Consider the following 27587-nt stretch of genomic DNA (forward strand, 5'->3'; position numbering starts at 1 on the left):
TGAGTGAGGGGGTGGGGGCCACCACCAGGACCCCTGAGGGGATGGGAGCCAGCATCAGGACCCCTGAGTGAGGGGGTGGGGGCTGCCTGCTGGGCCCCTGAGTGAGAGGGTAGGGGCCACCATCAGGACCCCTGAGTGAGGGGGTGGGGGCTGCCATCAGGACCCCTGAGTGAGAGGGTGGGGGCTGCCTGCTGAGCAGAGGGCTCCCAGTCTGCAGCCCCTGTGTGTATGTTCGAGGCAGGGGTGTCAATGTGGCCTCCCTCACCACGGCCATCCTGGGCTCTAGGACACACACATGCCAGGGCCACCCCAGCCACGGCAGGCATGGCCAGGCCCTGAGCTCTGAGGCACCTGCCCATGCCCTGGCACAGAGCAGCTGCTGGAGAAGCACCTGCCAGGTGGGGATCACCTCATCACTCTGTGCTTTGGGGGTCTCGAGCCCTGCCCAGGCCCGCCGTCTTGCCTGCCACTTGGATGAGTGAGGGACAAGCTGGGCGTGCAGACCCGTGGTGGGCACTCACTTTGCATCAGAAAAGCACTGCCAGCCACACCAGATTCCCAGCCCTGCCCCAGCGGCCAACGGCAGGCGGGGAGCCCTACCTCCACGGAGTAGGACATGTTGTCGTTGGTCGTGTCGTTGATCCGAGAGAAGAGGTCCTCGCAGAGCTGCAGGAATGGGGGGACAGTCAGCCAGGGAGGGCTGGGGCTGCTCCCTGGATCCCTGCCCCTTGCGATACTGTGGGCAGCCTGTGCCAGGCGGGATCCACCCTCTCAGGCCCCTCTTGCACCCTCACCACACACGTCATGGTAAAGGCACTGAGAAAGTCTGTAGCCAAGGAGCCAGTGTCTCCCTCTTAACTCAGGGGTCCCTGGCTGGTGTGGGTCATCTGCCCCTCCCCCTGGCTCTGCCATCCTACAGACATCCCAGCCATCTCCCTTCCCTCAGCAGGCAAAGTACTAGTGACCAACTCACGTCCAGAGACCTGCCCAGGGGAATGGCTGGGGACTCAGGGTTCCTGCAGCAAATGAGGAGCTGCTGGGTCTGGTGTTTGGCCACCCCTGTCCTGAGCACCTCTCTCTGCCCACACTGCCAGCCCTCACACCTTCAGAGATCAGCTGCCCCAGCCAGGGCTCTCCCAGCTGCTGTGTCTTAGGCACATGATCAAGGTGGACCCTGTCCAAGGCCAGGGCCCTTCCTGCACCTGGGGCCTGGGTCTGCAGCTTCACAGCCACATCTGGCTCTCACCTGCCCCAGCCCCACTCTTGACCCAGCTGGCCTTCCCCTCCTGACTCCCTGCTCTCTGGGGGCTGCTCTCAGGGGTGCCTGGCCCGGAGCTCTCAGCCTCAGCTGGTCCCGCCCCATCTGCCAGGGCTGCCCCCGCCCGCCCCCCGCTTCGTGCCTGTGGGATGATGCCCTGCTGGTCCTTCTCCTGCTTGCCCATCATGGTGTAGGACTTGCCGGCACCCGTCTGCCCATAGGCGAAGATGCACACGTTGTATCCCTCAAAGGCATGCTGCAGCATCTCCTCGCCGATGTCCCGGTACACCTGCTTCTGCGACGCGTAGTTGATGTCCTCAGGCTGGAGGACGAGGAAGGAATGAAGTTGCAGGAGGCTGGGTGCATCCGAGGCTCAGCCCATCATGTCTGCGGAGCCAGGGGATGCCCAGGGCCTCAGGGTGCCAGGGCAGCACAGTGGGGAGGGATGCCTGCCCCCCATCCTACTCCTGCCTTGTGGGGTAGCTTCCTGGAGGAGAAGCCCTCTGTGTCACAGATGCGGGATGAAGAGCGGCCAGCCAGGCAGGAGGCAGGACGGGTTCCAGCAGAGGGAACAGCATGTGAAAGGCCCAGAGGTGAGACCTCAAAGCCAAAGTAAGTTCCATGTGACCGTGACAAGCAGGGGTGACAAGAGCTGAGACTGGGGACAGGGTGCAAAGGCCCAGAGACCCCACAGGCTGGGCTACAGCGCCTGGACACTGTCCTGAGGACAGTGGGGCACTTTAGGCAGGGGGACAGGGTGATTAGCTGGGGGTCATCCTGGAAGGAGGAAGGACTGGATGGGGAAGGCAGAAGCGGGGAGCCCTGGGGCTGTTATGGGGGGCAGGTGCTCAGAGATATAGATATGAGGGGCTTAGATGAGGAGGCTGCATGCCTTCTTCTAGAAGGGTCCAGGAGGTGGCAGGTGGAAGACAGGGCTCAGTGTGGACTGGATCGGGGAGGAGGGAAGGAGAAGAGTCCAGGGGTCTCCTGGGCTCCCAGCATGCAGGGCACAGCTTCCAGACAGGCTCAGGGTCAGCTTTGGGCATTCTGACTTTGGGATGTCTGGGGGAAAAGTCACCAGCAGATGGACGTACACACAGCTCTGACCCTGGAAACTACCCACACGGAGCTGAAGGCCCCTCAGTTCCTGCAGCCTCCATCACTGCCTTCGCTGAGGACCGCTCAGGGTGACCTTCCAGGGGAGCAGGGTGGGGTCCTCGCCCCAGTTAGAGAGGAATGAGCGGCTCAGAGAAGTTGAGGGACCCCGAGGGCCACATGGCCTATGCACTGCTGCCCCCGCCTCCCCCGACCCGGGGTCCCGGCTTACTGAGGTGTGCGACCAGTAGGAGTAGTCAAAGCTGAAGCTTTTGGGCGTCTCCTTGGGCTGTTTGGGGTTAACAATGGCTGTGGGAGGGAACACAGGTGGTTAGCGCTGTGCTGGGAGGGCCCCTGACTAGCTGGCATCTACACTCCAAGGTGGGGAGATGGTCTTAAGAGGCCTCGGGCCCCAGACAAGCCAGGCCCCCAAATTGGAGGGGACCTAGGACCCCACTCCCAGGCAGATGAGCTGTCTCTGCCCCCTCCTTATGGTGGACGCTGCCACCCATGGATGTCCAAGGGTACCACCATACCAGCCTGCAAGGCTCTGTGTCATTCTCCCGCCAAATGCAACTGGCTCCCCTCAAAGGCAGCCACCCGGGGAGGATCCTTCCCACCTGCAAGCTGCGGCCCCTCCATCTCTGGTGTCCACCTTGGGCTCACAGCCCCTGCCCTGCCCCGCCCCCTGCTCAGGCCTTTATGCTCCGGCTCAGCGTGCACGTGCCCGAGAAGCGCTGGAAGCCTGGGCGTCCATCACGTTTGTGTTACGCCTGTGCGGTTCTTCTAGGCTTGCTACTCCAGACAGAGCTCTATGGGACTGTCTTCTGCCAGAGTCCCTCCTCCCCCTCCCTCCTCCACCCAACTTCAAGCCCAGTCCCAGGCACCCTGGGCTGGCTTCAGGCAGTGCTCACAGAATATCTGTTCCTCAAACCCAGAACAAATCCATGAACACGTGATGATGCCCCCGCCCACAGCCGGTGCCTGGGGGGGTTTCCCAGGAGCTGTCCCAGTATGAGTGTCCCAGGAGCTCCTCCCACCCACACAGCCTGCAAGTATCTCAGGGACCCAGCACACCCACTGCCACCTTCCATCCTTGCCCCCAGCATTTCCCAGGCCCTGGACGGGCCTGGACCCTGCAGACTGCATGTCCTCAGTGGCCGGAAGGACAGGACCCGCTGCCCCCTGGAACACTGTCTGAACCCAGAATTGGTGTTGACAGAGGCCTGGAGGCCTGAGGCAGTCCCCTCCCAGGTTCTCACACCCAGGAGGAACACTGGCCATTCCTGGTCAGGGAGCCCCCGGAGACCACCACCATCACATCAGCAAACCTGAAGAACGAAGCCCTCATGGCACCGTCCTATGCTTGGAGATGAAGGCTGGAGATGAGGCTGTGTCTGCCCCGGATTGGTTTTCCTCAGCCAGCGTGGGCTGGGGGCCAGCGGCACAGCCTCCAGTATGCCCGCACCCTCCGTGCCAGCATGCACCCTGGGGACCTGCCACCAGGACCACGGAGAACAAAATGCCCCAGTTACGAGTTAAACTGTGTCCCCCTAATTTCATATTTTGAAGCCTTTACCCCCAGTATCTCAGAATGGGACCTCATTTGGAGATAAAGTTGCTGCAGATGTAATTAGTTAAGATGAGGTCCTACTCCATGAAGACGGGCCCTAATCTAGTGCTGCCATGTCCTTATAAAAGAGGAGATTTGGAGACAGGGAGGGTGCCATGAGAACATGAGGGCAGAGATCAGGGTGATGACAAGCTAGGAACACCAGAAGCAGCCGGCAAGCCCCAGAAGCTGGAGGGCCTGGACAGGTGCCCCTCATGGCTCAGGAGCAGCCACCTCTGCCACCACCTTGATCTCAGACTTCTGGCCTCCAGAATCACGAGACAGCACACTTCTGTTTGCGGTGCTTCCTTATGGCAGTTCAGGGCACTGAGACCCCCTCTGGCCAAGCGTCTTGCTGACAGCACAGGCATCACTGGCAGCCTTGTCGCCAGGGCAGATCCAGTTTCAGGTCCCACCTGCGCCCCCATCCCAGGCCTGAGGATTTCTGGGAAACACCCAGGCACCCCGGGCAGCCAGCAGGAGGGAGCTGGGGACTGACCATCACAGCCCTGTCCTCGGAGGTGAGAGGGGCCACGTCCGTGCTATGGCCAGGAGCAGAGGCAGAGAGAAGGCCAAGCTGTCCCGACTTCAGCGCCTGCCGGGACCCAACAGCACCCGTGGCGCCGCCTCCAGAACCCTAGCACGATCAACCAGCGCTGTGGAAACAATTGCAGCGCCTTCCCTAGCACAGCCCGGCTGGGCCTCCCAGCTCTGACACAGAGGCCTGGGGCCCCTTGCTCAAGCCAGCAACACCCACCGTGTCCACCTCATCCCCTCACTCCGCCGCACTCTGGCCCCATCCCCACACCCCTTCCTGCCCCATCCACCCCCTCGCCTCACCCGGCTGCACTCAGGTCGGGCTCCCCGCACAGGCCTGGCCCCATCCCCACACCCCTTCCTGCCCCATCCACCCCCTCGCCTCACCCCGCTGCACTCAGGTCGGGCTCCCCGCACAGGCCTGGCCCCCATCCCCACACCCCCACTAGCCCTTGCTCCCTGTCCCACCCTTGCCCAGCCCTAGGTGCCAACCTTGCTCAGATGAAGCCCTGATGCCACACCCCACATGGGCCATGAGCTCCATGAGGTGGGGGCCCTCTGGGACAGGGCACAGATGGTGCCCAAGGAATGCCAGGTAGGTGGGGGACAGAGGGCAGCACAGGTGAGTGGGCGGGAGTGGGGCTCAGTTGCAGCTGTAAATGGCCCTTGGGAGAATCCCTCAGGCCTGCTTGTCCTGGGCCCCCACCCCTCCCAGGCCTGTGTTGTGGCTGGGACCCCCATCCCACCCTGGCCCTGCCTACACCCCCATCCCAGGCCCTGCACTGGGGCTGGGACCCCCACCCTACCCTGCCGGCAACCCCACTCCCAGGCCATGTATTGTGTCTGGGAGCCCCACCCCACCCTGGCCCTGCCACCCCTCCCACACCCTGTGCTGTGGCTGGGAACCATCCTCTGTCACTACAGATGGGCCCCAAGCTCCAGAGAGGGGAGGTCCTCTCCCCCGGTCACACGACGCACAGCCAGACTAGAAGCCAGGGTCCCCGCAACACCTCCCAGCCCTGAGGTCCGCCAGGCCTGTGGAGACAGGCAGCCCCTCCTTCAGCAGCCTGCTTCTCACAGAGACCTCCCCGATTCTGCTGGAGAAAGGGCTTTTTTTGCCAGGGTCTGGAATTTTTTCCTTGTGCAGGTTTGAGGAGGGAGGAGGGAGAAACAGGTCCTCCCAGGGCCTGCTGGGCTGGGCTCCTCAGCCAGCCCCTTTAGGGCCCCCATCCCCTCCCACCCCAGGCTCTGGCCAGGCCCCCAGAGCTGGGCCCCTCCAAGGCCGGCGAGGTGCCCAGTATCAGGCAGCCTTCCCAGGACTCTGCATGGGCCTGCAAAGGACTGGACACCGAGACGACAGAGACAGCGGGGGGAGGGTTGGGGTGAGGAGTGGGGGGAGCTGGAAGAAGGGGGACGGGAAAGGAATGGAATACAGCCGTTTTCTCAGAGTCTCAGCTTTCCTGCGGCCTTGAGCACCAGGTGTGAGGGCCGAGCTGAGCTGGCTCTTCCCAACGGAGCCTGCTGTGGGCCGAGCGTGTCCCCAGATTCATATGCAATGCCCTGACCCCCAACCAGCTGGCATTTGGAAATGGGGCCTTGTGAAGTGATGAGGATGAGACGAAGCCACGAAGTCAGGGACCTCATGGTGGGATGAGTGGCTTTAAAGGAGGGGAAGGGACCCGAGCTCCCTGGGCCAGGCAAGGACACAGCAGGAAGGCAGCAGCTGCAGGCTGGGAAGACAGCCCTCCCACGATCTAGACCTGTGGGCATCTTGATTGGACTTCCGCCTCCAGACTGCGGAGAAGGGAACATATGCTGTTTAAGACGCCCACTCTGCAGCGCACCTGGACCTCCGAGTCTGGCCTCCAGAACAGGGGGGGGACATTTCTGTCATTTGAAGCCATTCAGCATGTAGCCCTCTGTAACAGCAGCCCCAGGGACCACACGGGTGCTACTGCTGCCCGTGCAGAGGGGCTTGCCCAGGTCCCCGACTGCTCGGGATTGGGGGAGCCCACAGCGGAGGCTGGGGGCCTGGGTCGCACCCACCCTGGGTCCAGATCCCCATCTGTGGGCAAGGGCAGAGATGAGAGGCCACCCAAACCCTGGGCCTCCTCTGCATGGCCAGAAGAGTGCAGATATGATTGGGGACCTCAGGGAGTACCCAGCACCACCCCTCACTACTGCACAGGTGGGGAAACTGAGGCCCAAAGGGATGCCCTCTAGCCAGTGTCACACAGCGAGTAAGTCATGAGCACAGCCAGGCCCCTCACTCCAGGAACTCACTTCAGGGGCCGCACATGGCTGAGGGTCCGCGTCCCCAGCCAGCCTCCAGCATCTGCAGAATGGCTGGGCAGGCTCAGGGCCCTCACGTCCTCCGGTCCTCAGGGCAGAGAATGTGAGGAGAGAGGAGGAGGACGGAAGCACTCACACTCAACTTCTGCCCCCAGGCCAACCTACACTAGCTCTGCCAGGTCGGACCGAAGTGCACCTAATGGACAGCTCAGCTGGCTCACAAAACTGCTAGGTCTGGTGTGTTCAAATGAAGAGGATTATTTATGCAGGTGATGATTACGGGATAACAGTTAAATTTACTTTCAAATGCTTCCAATTTCTGCGTCACAGCGGAGCTACAAGGCACGCTTTAGAGAGTGGGGCCTCTCCTCATGTTTTGAGACTCCAGGAACAGTCAGCAGCTTCACCGGACAGGCAGGGCAGGCTGGCCAGGTCACTTCCCCACGACATCCTCTGAGGGGCCCCGCACAGTCCCCGCCATCTTCCGAGGGGCCTGGCACACCAGCCAGGGCAGCCACTCCCAATTCTATTGATCTGAGCTGCAGCTGAGAAGTCACCAGGGACGGTGGCTCCTGTGAGTGCTCCTGGCAGGTGGACATCCACCCGCACCCTCTCATGCCCTGTCTGCAGTGTCCTCCTGGGGCTTGTCTGGGGGCAGGTCAGCCCTCTGGAACACCCTGGCCCCTCAACCTCCAGGAGAAAAGCCCATGACCCCCTTCCTCCGTCAGGCTTCCCTGCGCCAGGCCTAGGGGACATCCTTCTCTCCTGAGCTCCCTCAGCCCTTCACTCAGATTTCTGACATAGCTTCCAGCACTTTCTTCCAAAACCACCACTGGTTTGCTTTCTCCAAAATGAAAACAGCTTTCCTAGAGATTTTTCCTGATTATTCATTCTTCGGCCACTCTTTTCCCTCCCCCGCACCCTGCTGTCTCCCATGCACGTGCACATCCAGTGCACACAGGACCTGCAGTGAGTGCCCATCTGCCCTTTACCCACACACGGCCTCACTCTTGGGCTCCGTGCTGACCTTTGCCCCCTTCCCCACAACATCGTGTGGCACTTTCTCACAGCTGTAAACACAAACTTTCAGGAGCACTCAGGTCCGCTGCCGGGATAGACTTAACATCCCTTCAGCAGCTCCCAGCTGGCGGGCATTTGGGCGGTTGCCCCGGGCTTGGTAAAACAGCACCAAGGTGAACGTTTCAAACGCACACCTTTGACCACTTGCTGGATAACCTTCGTTGCATTTCACGCAAGCAGCCTGGTGAGGTCGGCCTCACACGTCTCATATCCATCACCAGGCCGTCCCCAGCAAGCGGCCTGGGTGCCTGTCCCTGCCACCCTCACAACCTGCCTTTTGCTTGCCGGCAACCTGGGGCCCTGGCTTTCTTGGTGCGTCTTCGGCTACAGTGGGCAGGACACTGATCTCATGTGTTGTTTGGGCTCTGTGGCTCTTCAGTTTCCCGAGGATGAAAGTGACAATGTCTGAAACATTCCAGGTGTCCTGGAGGAAATGCCCTGGCAGGCTCTCCACCCCTACCCTGAGTCCACGGCCCTTTCCTCCTCCTTGGTTTCAGAACTTTGCTGTAACCCCACAGACATTTAATTTAGTTTGGTGATCCCCGGAAGATCGGCATCTCAGAAGAGGTTGGTGTCTTGCATATGTTCATCTTTGAGAAGGGGAGGTTCCTTCAGGACCTACCAGTTGCCCAAAAAAAGTGTAGGGGCTCCTGCATTTCCCTCCTGACCTCCTGGGCTTGCCTAGACTTCTGCTCAGAGCTTACTGGGGAGCAGAGGCTGCTGGCACATAGGCGAAATCCCAGAACTCCAATGTCTTCAGGGCCAGACGGGATCCAGGCATTTGAAGCAGGGTGTCTCGCTTCAGGTTTCAATCCCACTGGCTAAAGGAAACGTGGCTGCCCACAGATATGGCTCCGGCCTCTGGCTCCTAAGCCGTGGGGTAAAGCTTTGGTTCAGCTTTTGTTCTCCAGGCCAGAGGAGAGGGTAGAGTGAAGCAGGCAAAAACCACTGGGGCATGAGGTCTCGGGTCCAGGCCTGCACTGCTGTCTCTGAACTGGCAGCTCTCTGGGTCTGGGCCGGCGCAGCCTCAGCCAGACCACCTTTCACCAGCTGGGCAGTGCTGCCAGTGTCGAGGTCTTGGCAACGCTGGCTCACCTCCAGGCTGTACCCTCCCGTTTCTGGATCCTATGAGGGGAAATGCATAATGGGGAGGCCGCCTACCCAGTGCCCCTGGAGGCTGAGCCAGGGGGCAGGTCGGAGGCTGCAAGGGTGCCACTCGCCCACCCTGGCCGTCACTTCTGGGACACACATTCCAACCCGCCCACCTGCCTAACCCTGTCATTTAGGGTCTGGCCTGAGGCTGGGCCATTCTCAAGGTTCAGGGGCAGGAGGGTCCCATCTCTGAGGCTTTGTTCTTCCATCCACTCTGCTTCTGGTGGTCTTTAGCTGCTCGACGGGTCTGGTTCTTGTCACTGTGCCAACCATGGAGTTCCCCATGACCCCACATGCAAGACTGAGGTGGCAATTGTGCTGCCGGCACCCAGTGGGGGATGGAAGGGGATTCACAGGGCCCTCCCTGATGTCCTGGGTCACCTTACAATGACACAGCAAAGCCTGTTGGAGCGTGGAACAGGCGTCCTCTGCCCACCCCGGGCCACAGTGCTCACCAGAGGTCACGGTTCCCACCCGGAGTCGAAGGTCACACCCAGAGCCATGGTTCGCACCTGAGGTCACATTTCCCACCTGAGGTCACATTTCCAGACTCACAGCTCTGCGCAGCCTGAGGCTTCCCTCTTAAAGGCAAGGGTCCTGCCACCTGAGCACTTTCTCCGACCACAAAAGGCCAGGGCTGCAGTCAGCTAATGCAGCGAGCGTTGTTGGAAAAGCACTGGCCTTCCTGGGCAGGACAACCGGTAGGTGCATTGTGTTCATCCACGGGCCCCGGCAAGGCCAGGGCCCCGGCCACGGAGGTCACCCACTTACGAACGCACCTTTGTCAGCTTCCCCTCAAACTTCCCCAATCTCCCACAGTGCATCCTGGGACCACCTCCCAAATAAACTCTTGGTGCTCAAATCCTCATCTCTGGGTCTGCTTCCAGGAACCAAACAGACAAAACAATTCACCATGAAGAACAGTCAGGATGCAACCCTGAAGTACACTGGGGCCCCACAGCCGCAGCAGCCTCCATACCCTGGAGTTTAGCAGGGTCTCCCCAGCCTGTCCACTGCACCATGATTAGCCACAGAGCTCCACGGGCTTCTGGAAGGATCATCCCTGGGCCAGACAGAGGGCCCGAGCAGAGCCCTCACTTCCATAGGACGTGACAGAGCCCAGAACACCCCCAGTGACACCTGAATCTCCAGCCCCTGAGCAGGCCTCGGAGACTAAACCTAGGGAGGAAGCTTCCATGGGACCTGAGTGCCCTCCCCTCGGGACGCCCCCCTCCCCACCTGGTAGATAATAGATGAGGGCATGTCGGATGGGTGCACGGCACCTGTGAATGGGAAGGCTGTCATTGTCCACATCCTGAAGACCAGGTGGCTGTTCATGTCACCACTCAGTGCAGCTGACACCACTTGATCCTGTGACGGCAGCAGCAGTTGCAGCTGCACCAGAGGCCCCAGCACAAACTGCCCCGCTGAGCCCAGCCAGCCACAGAACTGAGAGATGACAATTGGTTCTTGCTCCAAGATACTGATACGGTTTGGATATGTGGGGAAACATATGGGTGTCCTTATAAGAAAGCCAAACCCAGTGGTGGGTGTCCTTATAAAAAAGCCACATGAAAGCAGAGACACAGACACACAGAGGAGAAGGCCACGTGACGACGGAGGCAGAGACTAGAGCAACGCTGCTGCAAGCCAAGGTGGCTGGCAACCACCAGACCCCGGAGAAGGCAGGAAAGGTCCTCCCTAGGAGCTCAGAGAGAGTGAGGCCCTGCTGGCACCTTGACTTTGGACTTCTGGCCTCCACAGCTGTAAGCGTAAATCTCTATTCTTATAAGCCCACCACCGTTGGTGGCAGTTTGTTACAGCAGCCCCAGGACACCCACACGCCACATAGACAAGGAGGTGCTCTTGCGGCCAGGGCCAGGTTGACTGCTGAGCCTGGCCCATAGGCACAGGACCATGGCCCCCAGCAACCCATGGCCGACCCCGATGCTGTGCAGGCTGATACTCACTGGTGGTGCTTCCAGACATCTGAATGATGCACTTGGAGTCACGGCTCATTTCCCGGGAATTGAAGGGGCGGACCCGCACCGCCACCTTCACCGAAGCCCCGGCCATCTCTGTGGCCTTCGTGGGTCACTCCTCGCAGTAGTGGGAGCCCCAGTGTGGGGGGAACACCTTGGAAAAAAGGGAAACATGAATTAGAAACAATATCTGAGGAGGCAGGACAGGCACTCCGGCTGCAGCTGAAGCCACAGGTCTTTTCCACTCCCCTCCAAAGCTCCCAGTGTGATACATGCATGGGGTGGAATCCACAAGGAGAGGAGGCAGCGCAGATAATTCTAGAAAGCAGGAGCCCAGCGGGACCAGTGGAACCCAGCTTCGCAAGCCTGAGGAAGCTGAAACCCAACAAAAGAAACAGAAACACAGCGACCTGGGTGTGAACGTGAAGGTGGCCTTCACACCCACGGCAAACCCCCCAGGAAGGGTCTTCCCCTGTGGATGCAGGCGCTGGTGGGCTCCATGCCAGGTCCGCGCAGGCCCCAAGAGCCAGTGCTGGCTCCAGATCGACATGTCAAGGACGCTTTAAAACAGAACAGTGTTCTAGAATGCCCCATCACACCCTTCACACCAAGCGCCAGCTGGTAGCCACATCAGCAGTAGTGTGGTCTCTGAATTAGCAAGAAAGAACTTTACTCAGAAATGAAAAGAACAGCACAGACAGCCCTAAGCAATGGGACAAAAGTCAACGTTTTCGGCCCAATGTCCTGCTGGTAATTCACGCAGAAGGTGGAGAGGAACATTCCTGAGCCCCACTGAGGAGAAGCAGGAGACAAGTCATGGGGAATTCGGTACAAGCCAGGGCTGGGGGACCAGCTTCGGCCTGGCCTTTACCCCAGCTGTGTGACAGCTTCCTGGGCCCCAGTTTACCGTCTGTGAAATGACGGGGTGGTGGTCAGGAACCCCAAAATGATTTGGCCTCTCGGGTACTGGGACTCTGAGGAAGGCTGATGAAAACTCCCCGCAAAACAGTGACGAAGCAGCCACTGTGAAAGGTCTTTCCGGGCTGACCAGCCAGATGCTGCTGCTTCCCCGTGGGACTTGCGGCCTGAACGATGGGGCTCCTGGGCACAGGGACAGGGACAGCCTCGGGACAGAGCTGTTGGTTACAGGAATGGCCAGAACTCCATGAAACAGAATTCATGCAGCCTGACACGAGAGGTTTTCGCCAATTGCTGTCTAAATGCTCTAGGGTGCCCACTCAGTGGTGAGTCCCACATCACCAGAGGCATCCAAGTAGAGCAAAGGCTGGGAGGCCTCCTTGAAACCCTTCCACACTGACATTCCATGAAGAGGCAACCTTCTGCCTGGTCGTCCCCATCTGTAAGTGCCACCCTTGGGGGAATCTGGCAAAAAGCCCCCATCCTACAGTGCCCCAGCCTCATAGCTGTGAAGAAGGGACAAGCCCCTCTGGGCTGCCCCTGGAAGCTCCAGGATCAAGAGCAGGAAGGGTCTGTCTGCAGAAGGAAAGGGGGCACAGCAAGCCTGGGTCTGTCTGCAGAAGGAAAGGGGGCACAGCGAGCCTGGGACAGGATCAAGAGCAGGAAGGGTCTGTCTGCAGAAGGAAAGGGGGCACAGTGAGCCTGGGACCAGGGCAGACGCTGAACTCCTGGACCTTGCCCAGGCCACTCCCAGGCTCCCCAGAACTCCTCCGCAGAACAGGCTGGATGTGGGGCAGGGCTGTCCCTCAGGCAAACAGCTCTTCCAGAGGCTACAGGGGAGGGGGATGTGCCAGGCCACCCTATGGCTAAGTGGGGACAAGTTCCTGATGTGGCTGGACTCGTGCCGCCTACACCACAGCCCCTTAGAGCCACCAGGTGCAGCCGCGTCTACACTCCAGAGTGCTTCCGCCACTATCTCTTCTCACAGCCAGGAGTGGCTGCCAGCGTGGACGGGGGGATGACCTCTGAGAATCTGTGTTTCCTTGTGTTGAAAATCCCTGCACTTTTAAAACTGGAAAAAGTCTTAGGACGTTCCAGCCGGGATGGAGAGAGGAACAGGCAAGTTCACCAGTCCCTGGCTAGAGCACAAATCCCGCAAGGTTTCTAGGGAGCAATTCTGCAGCACGCCCTGGGCCTTTAAGAAGGTCTGTATCCCTTGACTCAGTAATCCCAAGTACTAAAATCGGAAATACTTAGAAATTAAGAAAATATTGATGAAAGCAGATATTCCATTCAACAGTGCAAAATTTCCAGTTCTCCCCAAATTTAGCTATATAAATTCAGTGCAATTCCGATAAGCAAAATATTCCAACAGGATGTTCAATGGAATTTGGCAGGATAAGAGAATTTTGAAAAATGAGAACAAAGAGAGGAAACATCCCCTACCAGCTATCATATATCCTACAGAGCTACAATGATTTCCAAAGTCTAGAAATGACACGTGAACAGACTAAGCATGTCCAAAGCAGACACACACACACACACACACACACACACACACACACACACACTAAAGAAAAAGGCAGCAATTTAGGGAATGAGGTAAGATCAGTATGGGACAACTGGCTCTCCCGTATTGAAAAAATAAAGCTATTCTAGAACTTGATCTTTAAAATGTAAAAGTGGTACAAGGACACAGAGAAGCCTCTGTTCTTGGCTCTGGGGTATGGAATATGCACACCACGAAGCATGGAAGGCGAAGGCGGCTTGGTGGGTGCAGTGGCCAGCAGCCGACCAATGCATTACTCAAGAGGCCCGATACCACGCCGCACTGTGTGTGAAGGAATCAGTGTGCAGCCACAAGCCAACATTCCAGAGGAGGGGCTGCCAAGACGGGAGCTGGCCTCCGCAGCACAGCCTCCGGGGTGTATTTGCATTCTGCGCACGGGGCAAGAGACTGGGAATCTGGAGTCTTCCCAGACAGAGAGCCGTTGCTGAGGGACGGAGGAAGCTGCAGAGCTTTTGGGCAAAAAGAAACTTGAGAGGCCAAGATTCCAGAAGACAGAGGTGAACAACTAAGATGAACAAATGCCCAGTCCTTCCCTTAAGACATTTGCCAAATTCTGAGGATATGAGAGGTGAGATTTTAAAAACCCAAGCTGAAAACCAAAGAGGAGTCTTGCACAGTCTCAGGTGGGAAGGAACAAAGATTTGAGTTCAGGGTCCTCCGGGAGGAGAATACCCAGTGATCACACCAGGCTCTGGCTGAAAGCCCAGCAAGGTACGAAACCTAAGAGCAGGGCAGAGCCATAGCTCGGACGAACCTTATGAAAACTACAACCTGCCCTCGCTTGGTTTAATTCGGACTTCAGTCTGGCTGCCTGGGAGAGAAAATGGAAGCCATCTGGAACCTCTACACTCTTTTATTTTTATTTTTATTTTTTCAAACCCAGGATAATCTCTGTACTCTACATTCTTTTAATAGGCAATGTGTGACATCCAATCAAAACTTAGAAGGTATAAAATAAGAAAGGACTCTGATTAAAAACAAAGAGGAAAAATAAAATATAAACACATGAGAAAAAAAAAGACACATATCTAAACATGATCCAGATCTAGGAGTTATTAAACAAGGACTTTAGAACAACCCTGACAAATATATTCAAAATAAGAGCAAAAAGGACAGAGAATATAAATGGAAAATGGAGAATTTTTCCAGAGGACTGGAAACTATAAAAAAAAAAATCAAATGGAAATGCTAGATCTGGAAAACAAAATACCTAAAATTAGGAACTCAAGAGATAGACACAGTTGAAGACAGTGTTAGTAAACTGGAGGACAGGTAATAGAAATATAGAAAATTTAAAACAGATAAAAAGAATAGGAAATATAGACATGACAGCCAGAAAAGTATAGGACACAGTGAAATGGTCAAACATACCTGTAAGTGGAATCTAGAAGGAGAAGAAATGGAATGGGGGTGCCATGGTCTGAATGTTTGTGTCCCCTGTTCCCATCCAAATTCTTATGTTGAAATCCTAACCCCCCAAGTGATGACTTTAGTAAGTGGGGCCTTTATAAGGTGATTAGGTCATGAGGGTGGGGCCTCACAAATGGGATCATGCCCTTATGAAAGAAATGCCAGAGACACCCCTCAGCCCCTCCACCACGTGAGAGCAGGGCAAGAAGGCGTCTAGGAGCCAGAAAGCAGATCCTCAGCCAATGTGCCTTACTCTTGAGCTTCCCAGCCTCCAGAACTGTGAAAAATAAATTCTCTTATTCACAAGCCACCCTGTTTGTGATATTTTTGTTGTATCAGCTGGAATGGACCAAAACAGGGGAGAAGCAGTATTTACAAAACTAATGACCATGGATTGTCCAAAGCTGCTGAAGCACATTGATCCACAGGTTCAAGAAGCTCTACAAACACAAAGCAAGACAAACAAGAAAGCCACACAAGGCACAGCACTGCAACACTGCTAGGACCAAGGATGAAGAGAAAAAGCTTAAAGTCAGCCAGAAAAAAAAAAAAAAAAAGCATGTAACCTTTAAAGGAGCAAAAATAAGATTGACAACTGACTCCTCAACAGAAATGATAGAAACCAAAAGACAAGACTGCAAGATTTCAACATGATCATGAAAGAGGTAACAGTAATCATTTATATTCGATTGTCAAGGATACATGTTGTCATTGCTAGGGTAATCATTTAGAAAGTAGAAAACTAATGTATAACTAACAAGTTAATAGAAAAATATCCAAAAAATTAAAATTTATTGTATGAATCCAATAGAAGGCAGTGAAGGAGAAAAACAGAATATGAAAACATAATTGTCAAGTGGAAAAGAAAGAGTTAAGATTGCAGATAAAAGGTCAACTCAGTATGAATTAAATACACCAAGTAAAACATTAAAAATTGTCAGACCAGATTTTTATAAATTATATTCTGTTCATAAGAGACTCTACATACAAAGACACAGAGAGGCTGAAAACAAAAGGATGAAAATTTGTGCTTGTTCTATCAGCCACTGAGGAGGAGAAAATATATATCGTACACATTATTTTGTTTATTTAGTTTGAGACCGGGTCTCCTGTCTCTGAGACTAGAGTTCAGTGGCATGATCTTAGCTCACTACAGCCTTTACCTCCTAGGCTTAAGCAATCCTCCTGCCTCAGCTTCTTGAGGAGCTGGGACTATGGGCATATGTCACCATACCTGGCTAAATTTTTTATTTTGTAGGGATGGGGTTTCACTATGTTAGCCAGGCTGGTCTTGGGCTCCTGGGCTCAAATGATCCTCCCATCTCAGCTCCCCAAAGTGCTGGGATTCCAGGTGTGAGTCACCATGCCCAGCCTCATACATATTCTTTTAAAGTGCACACAGAATGTGTGCTAAAATTTGCCATATGCTGGTCATAAAGCAAACTTCCACAAATATCCATCTTAAATTCAAGTTATAAGGCAGATGTTCTCTGACCACAATAGAATTATGCTATACATCAATACCCTCAAAAAAAATCACCTACAAAACAACCCAATTGCTTGGACACTAAGCAATACAATTTTTAAAAACCCATGGGTCAAAGAAGTCATCACACTGGATATTAGAAAACATTTTGAATGAGTGATAATGAAGATACATTTCAAAGCTGTGGCAAAGGTCCTGCGGAAGGTAGCTAAAGCCGGACTGACGAGGAAACACATAGCCTTAAAGGCACAGGGATGGGGAGGGCAGCCCCACATCATCCCCAGGTTGGTTCAGACCCCAGTGTCCCCGAGGGAGCTGTGGTTGGCTTGGGAAGACTTTCAGGAGGTCACCAAGGCTTGCCTTGGGAGGGACCCAGGCTTCCACTCTTGTGAATCTTCTAGATCAGTCTCCACGCAGGTCTGCTTTTCAGCATCCAGAACGTGGCTGCTGAGCGTTCTCTCCTGTTTCATTCTTATGGGAGCGTTTAGGTCTTTTTTTGGTTTACCTTTACCTTTATTTTAGTGGCATTTCAGGAGGGAGAGATGATAAATGGATGAATACCACAAACAGGACATGGAAAAAAATAAACCAAATGCAAAAGGGTAAACAGTTTATAATTCTATCTACATAACCGCTAAAACAGGCACGAATTAGCAGAACAAGCACATTAATTAGTAATATACAGCTAAATTTTAAAAACAGCTAAGAGAGTTGAAAAAAATTGGGTATGAGGAACAAAGGCTGCTGATTTTCTAAACAAATTTTATAAAATGTTTGATTGTTCTACACTGTGCTCATACTTAACCTAAAAAGAATCATTTTAAAAAATCATTACCAAACAGTTGAGGTAAAATAAATAGAAATTCCTCATTTTGGTTGACAAATACTGATATATGTGAAATCAAAAATCAGTTTGCTCATTAAAATTAATATTTCCTGCCCGGGTCAGGCGTGGTAGCTCATGCCTGTAATTCCAGCACTTTGGAAGGCCGAGGTGGGTGGATCACAAGGTTAGGAGGTTGAGACCAGCATGGCCAAGACGGTGAAACCCCATCTCTACTAAAAATACAAAAATTAGCTGGGTGTGGTGGTGGGCACCTATAATCCCAGCTACTCGGGAGGCTGACACAGGAGAATTGCTTGAACCTGGGAAGCAGAGGTTGCAGTGAGCCACGATCACGCCACTGCACTCCAGCCTGGGTGACAGAGCGAGACTCCGTCTCAAAAAAGTAATAATAATAACAATAATATTTCCCAACAGAGAGCAAAAGGGCTGAATGGAAGCTTCTACTTCTGCAGTATGGTGGGTGAGACACCCTCCATTATAAAGCACCTAGAAATTCAGGATAAATAACAAACATCAGAAGAAAATTAGAGGACTCCTCAGAAGGAAAGGAAAAAGAGGAAGAAGGAGATGGAATTAAGGTGGCAACAAAGCTACAGGCATTTGGTGATACCAGAAACCAGAGAATTTGGTTTCACCTGCTGTGGGGGGAATGGGAGGCAGGACCTCAAAGAGACAAAAAGTGATGACTGGAACCAAGTCACCACAAAATTGAATCCTTCAAAGCTACAGCCTCTGTGAAATGGAAGGCTGGGTAAAAGAAGGGACACGGGAATTAATCTGAATGACGCCCAGCTCTAGGTGGTGAAAAAGCAAGTGTTACTGAGAATTTAAGGCCACAGGCCTGTCCTCATAAAGTTTGGGTTTCAAATTTACAACACCTGCATGATCAGTGAAATCCAAATTCAAGAAGTTAGCTCAGAGTAGTTCTCAGGAGTTAGGCCCCAAAGCACCTAACAAAGCACATACAAATCCTCCCAGGAGAAGGCTTCCTTTCCCAGGGCCCCAAGATTCCCACATATGAACATCAGCCAAATGTTAGCTCACAATGAAATATTACCAAACACTGGGAGAAGCAATTCACCATAAGCAAGAGTCACCAAAAAAGGAGAGGAGAGAAGAAGGAAAGGGAAGGGAAGGGGAGGGGAGGGGAGGGAAGTGGGGAGGGAGAGGGGAGGGAGAGGGCAGGGAGAGGGGAGGGAGAGGGGAGGGAGAGGGGAGGGAGGGAGAGGGGAGGGAGGGCGGAGGGAGAGGGGAGTGGGGAGGGAGGCGGGAGGGAGAGGGGAGGGAAGGGAGAAGAAAGAGAAAGGGAAGAGAGGGATTAGATCCTCAGCGACTTCAGATATTAAAATTGTGAAATACAGATTATAAAAATAAGTTGGCTTAAATGTTCTAAGAAATAAGCAGAACTGAAAAACAATGGGGTAACATATGGGAAAGAACCATGCAGAACTTTTAGAAATAAAATGTAATTATTTAAAACTGAAAACTTAGCAGACATGCTAATCAGCAAATTAAATGGAGCTCAACACAGAATTAATGAACTGGAAAATATGTCAGAAAAAAATTACCCAAAATGATCCCAGAAAGAAAAAAAGGGCGAAAATATAAAACCAAAGTTCAGAGTCAAGTAATATGGAGGAATTCATTAATTTATCATGACAGGGATTTTAACACACTTCTCACTAATTGGTAGATCAAGCAGATATATAATTAATAAGAGCATAGCATGAATAACACAATAATCATAAATTAATGGACATATGTGCCTCTCGCAGAAAATTAGAGCAACATTCTTTTCCATTACATATGGAACATTTACAATATTTTACCATGTACTAGACCATAAAGCAACTCCCAGTAGCTTTCAAAGACCTGTATAAAATGAATCATGTAATTTGAACACAATTAGACTAAAAATTAATTTAAAAATAATTAAAAACCCATATGTTTAGAAATTTAAAAAATAAACTTCTAAATAACAAACCAAAGGAAAAATCATGATGAAAATATAAAAATACTTACTAAATGGAAATGAAAACACTAATAGCAAAACATGGAGTTTTCATGTCCAGCCATGACAGAGTCCCAGGGACCAGGCTTAACCTCTCACTGTAAACAATAACTAGCAAAGAAGACAAAATATACGAAAATACTGGTGTTCAGACATCAGACAATAGGCAGTGCAGGACTGTGATCCCTGAGAGAAGGGGCACATACTAGGTGAGCCCTGTGATCACTCCAAATCTGCCTGGAGGCAGGCACAGCAAGGTAGGACCCAAGCGCCTTGGCAGCTTTGACAGGTTGAGAAGATGGTGGTCAGAGTTTGGGTGGGCAGAGGCAGCTGGAGGTTGTGAGTCAGAGTTCTGGAAGAAAGGAGCTGCTCAGCAGAAGTCCAGAAATTTGCACCGGGGTACACTTGAGTCTTTTCAGAGTACTAGTCCATTCCTGGATAATCCAGACACAAAAAGACTGGGCCGTTGTAATCTGAACAATTCTCAAAACTCACACAAGGTAAGGAGACATCTGTGATCCTATCAGCCAGAACAGGGAGTCCTCTTGAGCCTCCACTCCAGATATTCCGTGGAGACCCTGGAGAAGGCATGCCCTAGGTGGGGGACTAAACTATTCCTGCAGGTGGTCTACTCTAGACCAGCTCTAGAAAAGCTTAAGAACAGGCCTTGACTGATCAAACTGGTCTTCAAGTAAGTTAAGCGCCTGCCAAGACAAAGCCCAACATGCACTAAAGCAAGAAATAGAAGTCAGACTCTCTAAAAACTAAAAATCATGTCTAGCATCCAATCAAAAATTACTAGACCTGCCAAGAACCAGGAAAATGTGATGCATAACTATGAGAAAAATAAGCAATAGAAACATGAATTTTCCTACAATTATTAAAGAAATTGATCCAATAGTTTAAAAATCTACCCACAAAAAAAGGCAGCAGATTCAGACACTTCTTATAGGTGAGTTCCACCATACATTTGTTTAAAAGATAATATCAGTCCTATACAAACTCTTTATGAGAATGGAGGAAAGAGAGGGAAACACCCAAAGAATATAAAGTCGTCCCTCAGTATCAGTAGGAGATTGGTTCCAGGACCCCCCACAGATACCAAAATCCACAGATGCTCAAGTCCCTCATATGAGCTGGTGTACTATTTGCATTTGACCTACACATCCTCATATATATGTGTGTGTGTGTGTGTGTGTGTGTGTGTGTGTGTGTGTGTGTGTGTGTGTGTATATATATATATATATATATACACAGAGAGAGAGAGAGAGTTTCACTCTTGTTGCTCAGGCTGGAGTGCAATGGTGTGATCTCAGCTCACCGCAACCTCTGCCTCCCGGGTTCAAGCGATTCTCCTGCCTCAGCCTCCCTAGTATGCGCCACTAGGCATGCACCACCATGCCCAACTAATTTTGTATTTTTAGTAGATACATGGTTTCTCCATGTTGGTCAGGCTGGTCTTGAACTCCCGACCTCAGATGATCTGCCCGCGCTGGCCTCCCAAAGTGCTGGGATTACAGGCATGAGCCACCGCACCCAGCCCCTTCCATATATTTTAAATCATCTCAAGATTAGTTATAATACCTAATACAATGTGAATGCTATGTATTAATAAATAGTTGCTATACTGTATTGTCCAGGTAATAGTGACAAGGGAAAAACATTTGTACATGTTCAGTATAGACAAACCATTCTTTTTTTCCAAAAATTTTGATCTGGTTGAATTCACAGATGCAGAACCCACAGATATCGAGAGCCAACTGTACTCCTAGCTCATTCACTGATGCTAATAGAATTTTAGCATCAAAGTAAACAAGAAAAAATTGAGAAAGATTATAGACCAGTTTCACTGATGAACATAGGTACAAAAGTCTGAAAAATTAGCAAGAAAATACAGTAACAAATAAAAAGGGCAATGCAGGTAAGCATATTCCAGGAATACCAGTATAGCTTGACATTAGGATAGCTATTATTATAATTTTCAAATTAAAGAAGAAAGAATATGAGGCCCTCAATAGATACTAAAAAAGCATTCCATAATTTTCAAGACTCATTTGTGATAAAATTCTAAGCAATATTAGAATAAAAGAAAACTTTTTTAACCTCATAATAGCTATCTACTAAAAACCTACCCAAACATCACACTTAATGGTAAAATGATAGGAACATTTCCTTTATATTCAGAAACAAGTCCAGGATGCTTGCTATCTCTACTTCTATTTAACATTGTAGGAGAGGTTCTGGCCAAACCAGTAAGACAGGAAAATAACAAACAACATAAATATGAATTTGAAAGAAAGAAACCAAACTGTCATTATCTGCAGACCATTTGCTCATCTACACATAAATCAAGAGAATCCACAGAAAAAATATTTGAATTAGGAAGGTTCAATAAGGTTGTAGAAATCAAGAACATTCTTATATACCTGATAAAGAATTAAAACATATTTTAAGGTATCCTTTAAAATAATAACCCAACCTGGCACAGTGGCTCACACCTGTAGTCCCAGCTACCATGGAGGCTGAGGTAGAAGGATTGCTTGAGCCCAGGAATTCAAGACCAGCCTGAGCAACATAGCAAGACCCATTTCTAAAACAAAAAAAAAAAATTTTTTTTTTTTAATTAGCCAGGAGTAGTGGCAACATCTGTAGTACCAGCTCCTTGGGAGGCTGAGGTAGGAGGATCACTTGAGCTCAGGAGTTCGAGGCTGCGGTGAGCTAATGATCACACCACTGCACTCCAGGCTGGGCAACAGAGCAAGATCTTCTCTCTAAAAAATAAATAAATAAAATAATAACCCAAACTATAGAGTACCTAGGAATAAATGTCACTAACTTTTTTTTTTTGAGATGGAGTCTCACACCGTCGCCTGGGATTGGAGTGCAACGGTGCGATCTTGACTCACTGCAACCTCCGCCTCCTGCGTTCAAGTGATTCTCCTGCCTCAGCCTCCCGAGTAGTTGGGATTACAGGCGCCCACCACCACGCCCGGCTAATTTTTTGTATTTTTAGTAGAGATGGGGTTTCACTGTGTTGGCCAGGCTGGTCTTGAACTCCTGACCTCGTGATCTGCCCGCCTCAGCCTCCCAAAGTGCTGGGATTAGAGGCATAAGCCACCACGCCCAGCCGTCACTAACTTATTATAAAGAAAATTGTAGAACTTTACTAAAAACATTGCGGAAAATCTAAATAAATGGAGAACTATAACTTATTGGTGGAAAATAAATCTCAATATCTTGAAAACATTTAATTTTACCCAAATTGATTCAAAAACTCAATGTCATTTCATATGAAAACTCAAGTTCTTTTGTGAATCATGACAAGTTGCTTCTAGAAATGTATATGGTAGAGTAAGATGTTAAGAACATCAATAACAAGTCTGAAGAAGAAGAAAAAAAAGACCAGAGGGCAGAGGGCAACACGCCCTATGATCTCGAGCCTTGGTAGAAAGCCCTGGCATGAAGTCGGGCTGTGCTGGGACAGGAAGAGGCCATCACGAGTGCAACAGAAGGGACCCCAGGAACAGACCTGCAGAAGCACAGCCCTTTTGACATCTGGGAAAGGTGGCTTTACAGAGCAAGGGGGAGAGGACGGACGACCGAACCAGCGATGGAAGGAACACTGGTTGGCAATATGGAGAATACACCATTAGATCCCTTTATATGTCAAATAAATTCCATGTGGATTAAAGACCTCTATGTTAACAAAAAATGTTTTGGAAGAAAATAAAGAAGAGTTATATCTTCACGCTACCCCTAGGGAAGGAATTTTTTTTTTTTTTTTTTGAGACAGAGTCTCACTCTGTCGCCCAGGCTGGAGTGCGGTGGTGCAATCTTGGCTCGCTGCAACCTCTGCCACCAGGATTCAAGAGAAATACCTAATGTAAATGACGAGTTGATGGGTGCAGCAAATCAACATGGTACATGTATACCTTTGTAACAAACCTGCACGTTGTGCACATGTACCCTAGAACTTAAAGTATAATAAAAAAAAAAAAAAGAGTTTCTTGTGCCTCAGTCACCCAAGTAACTGGGGTTACAGGCATGTGCCATCACACCTATTTTTATTTTTATTTTTATTTTTTGTATTTTCAGTAGAGATAGGGTTTCGCCACATTGGCCAGGTTAGTCTCAAGCTCCTGGCCTCAAGTGATCCACCCACCTCGGCCTCCCAAAGCGCTGGAATTACAGGTGCGAGCCACCGCACCCAGCCGGAAAGATTTCTTAACCCACCGAAAACACCAAAATGAAAGTTTGGGTATCAAAAGATATCACTAAAACGGTGACGAGAACCCCACCCACCTGGAGAAGGTATCTGCAACACATACAATTCAACGAAGGATTTGTACGCAGAATACACAGAGGACAGATAAAAATAAAAATTTACAAAAATCACAGAAGAAAATGGGCAAAAAGATATGAACTGGCAATTTACATGAAAAGATACTCAACCACGATAGTAATTCGGAAACCATATTTTCAAACTGTATCCACCAGATGGCAACATTTAAAAGTAGGGCACACCAAACGCTGTCAGAAGGAGGCCACAGGAGCTTTTACAGCTCACCTTGGGAGTGAACGGGTGCCACCACTTTGAAAATAACATGGTAACATCTGGAGGGGCTGCAGACCTTGTGCCCCAGCAACTCTGCAAGTAGAGATGCTATACATATTCACAGGGAGAAATACACCCAAATGCAGAATGACTTATCATTACAAAAAGAATGGAGACAGCCCAAATGCCCAGCATCCAAGATGCAGATGAATGCAGAGTCGGCTGCAGGCCCCTCGAAGTTTCAAACACACAAGCAGCACTCCACAGACTCAGGGCAGACGATGACACTCCAGGAGCGATCAGCACCGAATTCATGGTGCTGGGCGTGGAGGGGGTCTAAGGGCCTGGACGCCACCAAGGCCACTCGATGTGCCCGCCATGGTGACGTGGAAGGACCTCCTTCCCGCCAGGCCCCATCTGTCCGTCTTCCTCCCCAGGGTGATGTGGGTCGGCCGAGATGCCGGGTGGTGGTGAGCCCTCTGCCAGTGCTACCCTTGGGGAGCAGGTTGGAAATGCCTTATTTTGAAAGCTAATGTGGGCATGTGGCCGTTGGTTGTAATATTCTGTATTCCTTGTTGTATATTTTTGCTACCACATGACACAATTTTTAAAGATGTAACTATTGGCCGCGTGCAGTGGCTCGTGCCTGTAATCCCAGCACTTTGGGAGGCCGAGGTGGGCAGATCACTTGAGGTCAGGAGTTAGTGGCCACCCTGGCTTGTAACATGTTGAAACCCTGTCTCTACTAAAAATACAAAAATTAGCTCAGCGTGGTGGCAGGCACCCATAATCCCAGCTACTTGGGAGGCTGAGGTAGGAGAATCACTTGAACCCGGGAAGCAGAGGTTGCAGTGAGTAGAGATTGCGCCACTGCACTCCAGCCTGGGCTACAGCGTGAGACTCCATCTCAAAAAAAAGAAAAGAAGAAAAGAAAAGAAAAGAAACTATCTTCAAGAAGTTGTTCTGTCAGCCAACCTGAGAGGGAGCCACGTGGCCCCAAGGGTGGCCAGAGCCTATGGGCGTGGCTGATGGCAGAAGGCAAAGCTGAGGATGGGGGTCTGACACAGCTGAACCCCTGAGAAGGCGGGGGGTTGCGGTCCACAGTGCCAGACACAGCACATGCCAGAGCCCAGGAGAAAGGGTGAGCTCCCCTCAAAGACAGAGAGGGGCACCTCTGGGACAGGTGGGGCAGGAAGTCATCAGAAACAAGAAGCATGAACTGGTCCTGTGGGGTGAGGTCACGCTGGCTGGAGTGGCCAGAGATGAGGGCACAGGCTCAAGGGTGGCAGGGAGGAAGCCAGAGGGGTTGGGATGACTGCTCAGAGCCAAAGAAGATGCCGAGAAGCTGGTGGTGGCAGGGTGGGGTCTGCGCTGGGGACATAGAGGCAACACCACGGGTGTCTGAGGCTCTGACTAGACCCAGGATGCACCCACAGGAAGTGGGCAGAGAAGATGGCCCGAGGGCAGGAGAGGGAAAGAGGGCTGGGGGATGGTGGCCATCCATGTGGGTATGTGGGTATGGCCAGCCGGCTGTGATGACTCCAGGAAAGGGAGACCATGAGCCCTGAGCCAGGGGCCCCAGGACAGAGGAGAGGGGAACAGAATCCATTCACTTGGTAAAAATGCATGCAGAAAACCCACTGGGCGCACCGGGCCACGCCCCGCAAGTCACTGCAGGCACAGAGGGCAGGGTGGCCCCGGAGGAACTCCCCTGTTGCTTTGGGGCTCTGGGACCATTTCAGGTTCCTGCCTCACCCTGGGGTGGGGGCATCAGCAGAAAAAGCCAAGTCCCTGTGGAAGGGGGCTGGGGGTGGCACCAAGGCAGATGACAAAGCGTGCCTCAGCTCGAGGAGTGTCCAGGAAAGACCAGGCATGGGGTGACGGTGAGGGCCAGACACAGGCCTGGCACAGGCACTCCCTGCCCAGCTGCTGGAGAGGCCCATGCTGCAGAGCATCGCACAGGCATCCGCCTGGAGCCCAGACGCCCTTCACCTCTGGGTCTGCCTTCACCTCAGGGGCCCGCCTTTACCTCGGGATCTGCCTTCACCTTGGGGATCCACCTTCACCTGGGGATCCACCTTCACCTCAGACATCTGCCTTCACCTCGGGATCCACATTCACCTCAGGGATCTGCCTTCACCTCAGGATCTGCCTTCACCTCGGGATCTGCCTTCACCTCTGGGTCCGCCTTCACCTCAAGATCCACCTTCACCTCAGGGATCAGCCTTCACCTCGAGATCCACCTTCACCTCAGGCAGGGATCAGCCTTCACCTCAGGGATCCGCCTTCACCTCGGGGATCCGCCTTCACCTTGGGATCTGCCTTCACCTCTGGGTCCGCCTTCACCTCAAGATCCACCTTCACCTCAGGGATCAGCCTTCACCTCGGGGATCTGCCTTCACCTCGGGGATCAGCCTTCACTCGGGGATCCGCCTTCACCTCGGGGATCCGCCTTCACCTCGGGGATCAGCCTTCACCTCGGGGATCCGCCTTCACCTCAAGGATCCACCTTCACCTCGGGGATCCGCCTTCACCTCGGGGATCCGCCTTCACCTCGGGGATCTGCCTTCACCTCAAGGATCCACTTGCTCCCAGTTAGACAAGTGGCCCGCCATGTGCACACCCAGCAGGGCCAGCCCAGAACAAAGCATCGGCATGGGCCACTTCCTGAAACACTGATCCTTCTTGAAGAGTTTGAGAAAAAAACCACAGCAGGTTTTTCTTAGAATTACAACCGATTGTCATAGAGGAGTGTCCTGGCCACCCCTGGAGAGTAAGGAGCCCCAGGTCCAATGACTGCAGGCACACTGGTTGCTCTGAGACCCCATGGGATAGGGCCAGAGCCCACCACACAGCCCCCAACTGCAAAGGGCGTGGGAGAGGCGTTTCCTGGGACCTCAGCCCTGAGTGCCGCTTGCAGAGGGCAGGGAAGGGGCAGGGGCTCAGGCATGGGAACTCAGGCACCTGGTGGAAGGCAGGGGTGAGAAGTGAGGCTAACATGGAAGCCCGCACCCCCAGCCCCGCCATCCACCCTCCGAGGGTGGTCACTGCCAGTGCCCCCAGGTGAGCAGCTGAATGGCTTTCTCCATAGCAGGAGTGAAGCCTTCAGTGAGCTGAAGAATGCAGTACCCCTCATTCTGATATGCAGGGGCAGCTTGGTAGCCAGCCCCACCCCTTCACCTAAGCCAGGGCCTGCCATGGACACCCCACCCCCCATGGACACCCCACCCCAGCTCTGGTCAGAACCACTCCGGGGTGAGCAGCAGCAGCCCTGCCGCTCCCGCCAATGGCCTCCCTAACACATGATGTGCCAACTAATGCCTTCCTCGGGCGTGAGAACAGAGTGTGAAAGGGAAGGACCAGAGCTGCCAGCAGAAAACAGGCCCTGCGGGAAGGACAGGCAAAGCATGGAACAGACGCGAAACAACCGAGCACAACCTCTGTCCACGCACCCGGGAGATTCAAGAAGATGCTCATTTTCAAAACAAGGGCAGAATGCTATGAGACAGAACATTTAGAAACGTGAAGATTTTAGAGATGAAAAATGTAAGAGATGAAGTACAAGATTCCAAAAACCCTAGAAAAGGCAGTCAAAGGACTTTAGAATATAAACAAGGAGACAGAATATACAAGAGAAAAGCAACCAAACAGACCAACCCATGAATTCAGGGTAAAAGAAAAAATGAAAAGGAGGAAATTACGAACAAATAGAAGTAGAGACCCTGACTTCAGTGTGAAGGGCCCACCGAGTGCCAATAAATGCGAACCCCATCCTTACACCC

General features: G+C 52.2%; 1 protein-coding gene across 28 annotated transcripts in view, besides 4 other annotated features; it reads right to left on the reverse strand.

Moving 5' to 3' along the window:
• KIF1A (kinesin family member 1A) overlaps positions 1-27587 on the reverse strand; it is a 107637-nt gene that overhangs the window by 72884 nt on the left and 7166 nt on the right. For all 28 annotated transcript variants that reach the window (NM_001379653.1, NM_001379650.1, NM_001379645.1 and 25 more), the window contains exons 2-5: positions 10997-11162; positions 2586-2662; positions 1401-1580; positions 601-666 (exon numbers count right to left, since the gene is read on the reverse strand). In NM_001379653.1, the coding sequence (NP_001366582.1) occupies positions 601-666; positions 1401-1580; positions 2586-2662; positions 10997-11102 (429 nt within the window). In that variant the 5' untranslated portion in view covers positions 11103-11162. The remainder of the gene's footprint in view (positions 1-600; positions 667-1400; positions 1581-2585; positions 2663-10996; positions 11163-27587) is intronic.
• Positions 10391-10891: an enhancer, noted in NCBI's record as "H3K4me1 hESC enhancer chr2:241736458-241736958 (GRCh37/hg19 assembly coordinates)". NCBI's record gives its function as "activates a minimal SCP1, AML or CMV promoter by ChIP-STARR-seq in naive H9 embryonic stem cells {active_cell/tissue: H9 hESC(naive)}" and the evidence as "EXISTENCE:reporter gene assay evidence [ECO:0000049][PMID:30033119]".
• Positions 10892-11392: an enhancer, noted in NCBI's record as "H3K4me1 hESC enhancer chr2:241736959-241737459 (GRCh37/hg19 assembly coordinates)". NCBI's record gives its function as "activates a minimal SCP1, AML or CMV promoter by ChIP-STARR-seq in naive H9 embryonic stem cells {active_cell/tissue: H9 hESC(naive)}" and the evidence as "EXISTENCE:reporter gene assay evidence [ECO:0000049][PMID:30033119]".
• Positions 11521-12362: an enhancer, noted in NCBI's record as "H3K4me1 hESC enhancer chr2:241737588-241738429 (GRCh37/hg19 assembly coordinates)". NCBI's record gives its function as "activates a minimal SCP1, AML or CMV promoter by ChIP-STARR-seq in naive H9 embryonic stem cells {active_cell/tissue: H9 hESC(naive)}" and the evidence as "EXISTENCE:reporter gene assay evidence [ECO:0000049][PMID:30033119]".
• Positions 25083-25693: an enhancer, noted in NCBI's record as "H3K4me1 hESC enhancer chr2:241751150-241751760 (GRCh37/hg19 assembly coordinates)". NCBI's record gives its function as "activates a minimal SCP1, AML or CMV promoter by ChIP-STARR-seq in primed H9 embryonic stem cells {active_cell/tissue: H9 hESC(primed)}" and the evidence as "EXISTENCE:reporter gene assay evidence [ECO:0000049][PMID:30033119]".

Source organism: Homo sapiens, chromosome 2 (genome assembly GCF_000001405.40).
Source record: "Homo sapiens chromosome 2, GRCh38.p14 Primary Assembly".
NCBI lineage: Eukaryota > Metazoa > Chordata > Mammalia > Primates > Hominidae > Homo > Homo sapiens.